This window comes from Homo sapiens, chromosome 7 (genome assembly GCF_000001405.40).
Source record: "Homo sapiens chromosome 7, GRCh38.p14 Primary Assembly".
NCBI lineage: Eukaryota > Metazoa > Chordata > Mammalia > Primates > Hominidae > Homo > Homo sapiens.
Window position 1 is genome coordinate 41,874,098 of NC_000007.14, and position 8,774 is coordinate 41,882,871.

Consider the following 8,774-nt stretch of genomic DNA (forward strand, 5'->3'; position numbering starts at 1 on the left):
GTGGAGTTAAAGTACAATAAAAATTACATAAAATAATAAATTTCAAATGCAGTGACATTGAATACAGATCATGGGGATCACTGATCTAAAGTGATCCTAGACATGAGAATGGACTAATCTCATTTCATAAAAATGTATACTTTATGTAGAGTTTAATTTAAATTATGGTGTGATATCCAATAATAGCATCTCTCATTGGGACACCCTGGGTTCTTGTCTGTACAAGAGAGAGAAAGAGGGCAGGGAGGATGTGGTCTAAAACCAACTGATGCTGATCTGATCAACTGTTGCTGATCTGCAGCCCCATTTGGGTAAGATGTAGCAGATGGGGGAAAAGAAAGCTCCCAGGAGGGAAGATGGAAATTCCAGGATGCCTCATGTTGTCTGGACAAATGAACCTAAAGCCAAAAGGTCAGCTTGATTTGCTCTGCTACAGACTTAGAGTTCTCCGAATGCACAGGGCACACAGATAAGAGTCCTTCCCTGAAGGCACCATCGCAAACAACCCCCTCCCCCCATCAAGAATTCAAGAATGCCTCTCAAGATCTCCTTTCTGTTGTATCCCTGATCTACCCCTTTTTGCTGCCTCCAGAGCCCAGCAGTACGTTTTCTTACTCAGATAAAAATTCACCCCAGAGCTATCCAGTGTGGCCACATGGAGTGACATGAGGGTTCAGGAGGCTCAGAGCCCTGTTGAAAAGTCAGTTAATGAAGGTTTTATACCTGGCATTGTGGAGACACCAAGCATCGCAGATGCAATCCTAGTCATGGAGGATATAACCGTGTACTTGGAGGAGACCAGTCACACATCTGAAAAAAGGAGAATATGAGTGCAAGGGAACATCAGTAAAGCTTCAGGGATTGTGAGTAAACAGGGCACAGAGATGAACAGGGCACCACCCAGACAGGGGACTAGGATGACTTCATTGAAAAATGGGACTTGACCTGGACTTGGAGTGGCATGTAGGATTTGGAAGTGTGTTGAAGAAGGAGTAGGGATTCCAGTGACAAGGACAGGGGCTGTGCTGACCACTGGTTCCTGTGGGAGGGAGCCCCCGACTCTCCAAACACCTCTTTTCTTTATCATGTTGGCCACATAAAGCAGCCTTCATTCTCTGAAGAGAAGGCTCATGTCTGACTCCACACAAGATGCACAACTCAACACTTGTTGAATTAGGGATGGAGGAAGTCTGAGGGTGGCTTGTAGCTGCGCTCCTAACAGATAAAATTGGATCTCCCTTCCCTATGACTCTGTTTTTCTCTCATTATCTCTCCTGGTGTGAGTCTGCCATGTACTTTGTATAACACTGTTCTGGTGGAGGACACACGTTTTTATTGGAACCCAACAAAAGCACCCCCTGTTTGTGACTCCTTGGGATCCCCAACTATGCTCTCACTAGCTTGTGCATGGGATGGGATTACAAACTGTAAATCAAAAGAGAAGGCTACAGAATAATTAACCACTGACACGACCCGAGTGATGACCAGCGAGCATGGACCTAGTACTCAAACACATGAGCTGCCTGTCCAACCTGTCAGGGCAGACACGGCCCAGACCAACTTTTCACTCAGATTCTGCAAAGACTGAGCATTTAGTATTGTTTGTCTGGGAGGCCATGTGCTGCCAATCAGCACCATTAGAGACTGATTTCCCCAGAGAGCATGCAGAAGAACACAAGCTGCCCCAGCTCTCCCTCCTGCAGCTCATGCCTTGCCCACAGCCCTGGAGATCGTCTAAATATCTCGACATCCACTATTTACTTCACTCTGTATGTAGTTTCCCCTACCTGGCAAAGCAAGAGCTGTTAAAACTATTCTCCTCATTTCTCTCACTTTCCCGGAATGGAAACTCCAGCCCCCATTTCAATTGTCTACACATCATTTCCACAGGTAGCTCCACTTACAGTGACTTCCATCCCCAAAGACCTACTTCTGTGCACATTCCCCGCTTTTGCCACCATTCAATTCTATCTGTTCTATCTGATATCTTCACTGGTGTGTATGCATGTATTTAAAGATTTCCCAGAAGGAATTGGGACTGTTAGATCTTTTTTTTTTTAGACGTAGTCTTGCTCTGTTACCCAGGATGGAGTGCAGTGGCACAGTCTCAGCTCACTGCAACCTCTGCCTCCTGGGTTCAAGCCATTCTCCTGCTTCAGGCTTCCAAGTAGCTAAGATTACGAGCATGCACAACCACACCCGGCTAATTTTTTTATTTTTAGTAGAGACGGGGTTTCGCCATGTTGGCCGGGCTGGTCTCGGACTCCTGACTTCAAGTGATCTGCCTGCCTCAGCCTCCCAAAGTGCTGGGATTACTGGCATGAGGCACCACACCCGGCCAATGGTTGGATCTTTAGAACTTCCTGTTCATAACTGTTGAGAAATTACTGTAAAGGGTTTAAACTCCAGGGCATGGAAGATTCCATCCTCTGGAGGCTTTGAACACCCCCCTCACCCTGTAATGAAGGGCACTGTGTGAGGCTTTGCCCTCCAGGCACAAGCAATTTTCTTAATTAAATATCATCCTGTGGGAATGCAATGACCAAGACATAGTCTGAACAATCACTTAATAGGGATGAGAAAACACCTTTTAGCTAATCTACTTCTTGAACCGAAATCACAGTGTCATGTTGAAGTTGCTTTATAGCTGGCCAAAGATTACCTTTAGGAAGAGTGTTTCTAAAGTCCTGTGAAAAAGTTCAGAAGGCTTCTTGAACATTAAACGAGTCTTACAACACAAGGTTCTAATGAGTTATTGTAATTGCAAATGAACCAGAAACAGATGGATTACATTTCCTATTGAAATACATAAGGGATTGAAAATTAAAGGGAAAAAAAGAATGATTGGCAAAATACAATTTGCGGCTTGGCAAAAGCCAGCCACTTGGAATAATCATATCTAGTATGTGCCATGCCCAAAGTGTAGCCAGGTCAGCTAGGAGGGTGTTCTGTGGAAGTCCAGTGTTGAGAGCCGGATGCAGGTGAGGCCCAGGCCTGTGGTGGAGATTCTGGAATGCAGCTGCCAGATGAAAAGGAAGACTAGGGACAAACGAGGTGGAGCAGGTGAGGTAGGGCAGGGAAACGCACCAGAGCGGGTATCAGAGGAGAAAGATAGACGTGGAACACAGGCAGCTGACTTTGTGAAAGAATTTGGAGAGTAGAAGCCCCCTCTTCCCTCACTCCTACCCTAGCTCCTCCCACCTCCACCTGCCAGGCATGTGAAAGAGTCAGCTTGTTCTTTGAAAAGGGCACTGGCTCCTAGAGGTGGGGCTGAGCATCCAGATGTGCTTAGGAGCAGTGACTGAGTATGAGAGGGGATTTGAATAGGGCAATGGATTACACGCAAACTTCTCCCCTGGAAAGCAGGCAGAAGAATACGATTTGAACGAGAAGAATATAAAACATGAACATCAGATATAAACTATGAAAAATGCTTTGTTTTCAGTCTTCTCTGCAAAGTTAAATAAAGCCATTTGTTGGAAGCAATGAGGTTTGCTGGGCAGATGAAACCGTCAGATTTGTTGGGAGACGTTGACACCAAGGGGTTAGCTACAGAGAAATAAAAACAGCAGGAGCCCAGTCCAACTCTAGGAGGATGTGGCTTAAAGTCCAAGCTAGGTTACTGCAAAATTTGGAGATATGAAACATTTCCCTTTGCCTCTTTGTCAGGCCTTCCTTTCCCACACAGCTACATTAGCAGGAAATTCTCCAGCTAAGGCCGGCCTGCCTCCATCTCTTGAGCAGCCTCCTTGTAGGCTTGTTATAGGCTCTCAGTCCCTCGAGTCCAGGATATTGACTAAATAAGCCATGTGGGTGTTTGGGGACCTCGCAGAACCATAGGCTAAGAAGCACCTATATTTGCCTAACATATTTTTTTTCCTTTTTTTTTTTTTTTGAGACAGGGTCTCGCTCTGTTGCCCAGGCTGGAGTGCAATGGCGCGATCTCAGCTCACTGCAAGCTCCGCTTCCCGGGTTCACGCCATTCTCCTGCCTCAGCCTCCCGAATAGCTGGGACCATAGCCGCCCACCACCACGTCTGGCTAATTTTTTGTATTTTTAGTAGAGAGGGGGTTTCACTGTGTTAGCCAGGATGGTCTCCATCTCCTGACCTCGTGATCCGCCCACCTCGGCCTCCGAAAGTGGTTTTTTTTTTTTCCTTTTTAAAGCACTGAACACATCTTAGCCTGACAATATCATGTCACAGTTGTGTCCCCAAACCCTTTCACTTCACACTTGAAATATTCAACAGGAATATTGGACAAATAAAAGTTACAAAGTAACATAAGCTCTATTCAAAGAAATGACGGAAGAAACAAATGTAATTGGTCATTTCTCAAACATTTTGTGGTGACTCTGTCCTTATGTGATTCGTTTTTGGCACAGATTTCAGGATCTTTAAGGCCACTGTATTTAGATTACATTTTATAATGTCATAACCTTATAATTAACATATTGAACATGCCCATGTTTTTCTTCTACCCTGCCTAGCAGCTTAGTTTGGACAAGGGAAATGTAGATAAGAAACTATTAATTATCTGCCAGAAAGAAAAAAAAAAGACTACTTATCTTTTGGGGTAAAATAGATCTGAGCACACATAAGAATTATAACTATTTTTGCATAAAATAAATAGTCTCCTTTTGGTGTTATCAAGAAGGCGTGGTGAGTTGTCATTTATCTTGTACTCCCAGCCCGCACTCTTGATCCTACTGTAACCCTTATTATTTGCAAAAGATGAAAGCAAGATCAGAATTTTGTGGAGCTGGGAATTGAACTGTAGTTTTGTTGCAATAACAGTGAACGTCCTTGAAAGTGTCTCACTCATGAAGACTGTCTGGTTTATTATGATTCTCTGGTATTTGGCATTTGGTATCAAGTCCAGCTGGATGAAATTATATCTGGGAAATTATCATCTATCTGATGCCAGTCTTCAAGTGTCACCAAAGCCCCCTTCATCTGGTAGGCAATTAAAGGAAGCTCTGGAGTCCTCGGGGACTTCTCAGCCCCCACTGAGTACAGTACACTTCAGATAAAGGAACTTTCAAGCTGATCTCATCTGTAAAGTTCTGGACCTGGAGAGGAAAGGCTGGGAGATGGGCTGTCCTGCCTGAGTCACTCCTTGCGGTCAAGTTAACAGGACAATGGTGAGCTTCTGCTTTGAGAAAAGGTACATACACTTTCTGTCCTGAGGACCCCTCCCCTTGCTCACCCTAGAGATGGCAAATGTGAAGAGCTGATTTATCTCTGCAGATTTGCAGCTTCTGGGATTCAGGAGTGGAGCCGCATTTGTATCCCTCTCCAGCCAGAGAAACTGGTGGACTTTCACACTGGCCAGTTGGATATGTGGAAGAAGAAATAAAGTTCATAACTTTGGGGATGCAAAGGAAACTGTTTTCATGATTCCCCAAAAAGCTAATCACAGGAGAGCTCTGTGAAGTTGGCCAAGGGCATGCTTTGAGAATGATAGATTTAACGTTTGCTTTCTTTGGCCTGGACGTTTCCCAGAGTCTCCTTATATCTTTTCTTGATACATAATGTGCATTCTAAGGGAGGCAAGGGAGGACTGTAACTTGGCACAATCTTCCTTACATGTAAATCCCTAAACTGAAACGAAAGACTACGATACGCTGACACAGAGAAGATGATGGGAAGGGAAATAAAGAGGGGACAATCATCTATAAATTTTAATAAAACTCTGACTTAATTTAGTATAACAGTCTTGTGATTTAATAAAGCACATATTAAATAATGAAAAGGTGCTTGCTTGAAATGGCTTTCAGTAAATATTGTCAACAATAACTGGCCTTTTCTTTATTGTCATAAATGTCCCTGCCAATAATACTAGATATGTAATCAAAGAATATCTACAACTCCAGTTACTGCTCTGTTTTTCCACATGTGATTTGGACCCTTTAGTCACAAATATAAGATGAAGTCTATTTACAGACACCTTTCCTTTGGCAGACACTAATTAAGAATGAGAAAGATAATGAGAAAATTTTGATAAATGAAGAATGAAGGAGAAACAAATGGTTCTCTCCAGGGTATTCCCAGAGCTCTGGCCTTGAAAGATGGGGCAAAGCAGGAATGTCAGGAATTGCAGGCATGAGAATGGAGGTGGCTGGAGATATTCCATAACCAGACCAGACAGACACTGCAGAGCACCGTGTGACATAGACTGGGGAGAAACCAGAAGGTCGGGGGAAGGGAAAAGCAAAGTCCAGAGGCCTGGACAGAGTCCAGACCAACATCCTTCCTGCTGCAGAGCTTTAGGTGGTGGACCCACAGTGGGATGTCTCATGGATGCCTTTCACAACACGGATTTGGCACTCACTCTTTGTCAAGAAAGGGGCCAGGCACCAGGGGTATATGCCAGATTTCCCACTGATGGTTGAGCTCCAGGCCCTATAAGCCTACAAAGGCTGGCTCAAGGAGGCCAGCTGTGAACACTCATGGCCCTGCAGTCTACCCTATGCCAACTCTAATGCTGGCAGGTTTTCACCTCACCTGCATTATTTTCTGCCTTTGCTGTATTTTGAAAGACAAACAGAAGATTATCTAACAAATACTGAAGTAGTCATTGGGATTACAGGGATCCACATGGTCAAAGGAGGTGAGGGGCGAACAATGAAGCTGTGTGTCCCAGGAGCTGTCAGTGTGCACATGGCTGGTCTATAGCATGAGAAAGGTAGGAGGAGGGCAGTGGATGTCAGTTTATGAAGGATAAAGGTTGTCAAAGTATTCCAATTAGGGGGCCGTCACCTACTAGCCTTCTGCTTTAAGAAGACCAGCCTGGCCAGGCGTAATGGTTCATGCCTGTAATCCCAGCACTTTGGAAGGCCAAGGCAGGTGGATCACCTGAGGTCAGGAGTTTGAGACCAGCCTGGCCAACATGGTGAAACCCTGTCTCTACTAAAAATACAAAAAATTAGCGGGTGTGATGGTGGATGCCTGTAATCCCAGCTATCTGGAAAGCTGAGGCAGGAGAATCACTTGAACCTGGGAGGCAGATGTTGCAGTGAGCCGAGATAGAGCCACTGCACTCTAGCCTGGGCAACAAGAGTGAAACTCCGTCTCAATTTAGAAAAAAGAGAAGACCAGGCTGACTACAACCCCAGGGACAGTCAGTGGCTTACACAGATCTTCTGGAACCTGATGTTATACAATTTGAGGAGCCCTTCTTAAGCAAAAAAATTCAAAACCAAGAATATATAATTAGGTATAAAACTGAACAGTTATTTAGAATGAGAAGATAAACCTCAAAAAAAATAGAACTTTAGAATGATGATAAATACCACAACCATAGGTTAAAACATGAGAATTCCAATAAATCTCTTTTGCAGAATTCTCATCAAGGAGGAAAGGAAAATGTATGAGGCCTGTATAATTGTATACACAGCATGGCGTGCTATATTCCTGAAAGGAGACAACTTCTGTTTTGACTAGCTGTCATTGAAAACAAAGTCCTCTGCTTACGATTTTACATATCTGACTTTGGAAGAATTTTCCAGAGACCAGCTTCCTGCTTTGTATATTTCAAACTTTGCTTCTCCTTGATTCTGCATAAACGTCTGGTGTCAGATGCTGCAGGACAAATTCATATCACCAGATGACGTTTGACCCTCCACTTCCTGTCACGAGGCTGGGTGCGTCAGTGCAGGGGGCCGTAGGAGTATTCCTAGAAGCCGTTCCTACACCAGGATGACTAGTAATAACTTAACTGCATTCAGAAACAACTACCAACCACAAAAATATCCCCTACTGAACCCAAACTAAATATATTCGCAACTCAACTTCCTTTTAGCTGGGGCCCCAAAGTGCTGGTGACGACGCTGACACCCTAACAGTAGGTGCACAGAGGGGAAGTCGAAACAGAAAGGGGAAGCAGTCTTAACCAATTATGGCTAAATATAGCTCACTTTTAATACATTTTACAAAAATATATGACCATGTGAACACATTGCAAGGTCTTCCCCCAGCTCTTGTAAGGGACCGTGCAAGTGAGGCCCTGAGCTGAAGTTTATTAGTTTATTAGCTAACAGGTAGATCTTTCTCTGAGGACTCACAGATCTATCTGGTGGTCTGACTGCAGCTGAGGACCCCAATCTGGAGTAATAGTAAATAGCTGTAGAAGCCAAGGATCAGAGGCGAGGCAATGCCATTGTAGTGGAAGGGATACATTCGAATGGTAATTAGCAGGTGGAACCAAGATGATTACAGTTTGGAAGAGGACAGAGTTAAAAATGTGGCACCATCTAGTCTGGCACTTGCCCCTCTTAATTTATCCAAAACATTGAACAACACTTAATAACTTGTGCCAGGCATAGTGCTTGCTGCCAAGCAGAGGGGAGGGTGTGTGACCTGGGCTGTGAACTCATACTGGCCGGCTCGCTGTAGCGTCCCCTGCCAGCCTCAGCTCCAGAGGATGTCTGTTTCTCCTCTACTCAGTCAGCAAGGGATCTTTCTCTTTGTTCTTACGAATGAGGCCACCCATTAAGATGTGTCTAGATACTTTGGCTCCCAGGTCACACCCAACTATTGCCTCTTTTTGATCCAATATATACTTTTTCCGTAAACTGGTCAAAACCCATACTTACACAGAGATGGAAAGAGGAGTATAATTTCAAATTGCAAGGGGAAGCTGGATATAACTCAGTTTTTAAATCTCGAATGTATATATTTTTGGCCTGATTTCCCACTCTGAACCCCCAAATCAGTAAAATCACAAGGTGAATGCAAACAGGAAAGAGAAAGGAGAAAACATGTCTGCCAGCCC

General features: G+C 44.2%; 1 annotated feature.

The window, feature by feature from the left end:
* Positions 7,342-7,891: an enhancer, noted in NCBI's record as "active region_25901". NCBI's record gives its function as "activates an Ori minimal core promoter by ATAC-STARR-seq in GM12878 lymphoblastoid cells {active_cell/tissue: GM12878}" and the evidence as "EXISTENCE:reporter gene assay evidence [ECO:0000049][PMID:35858748]".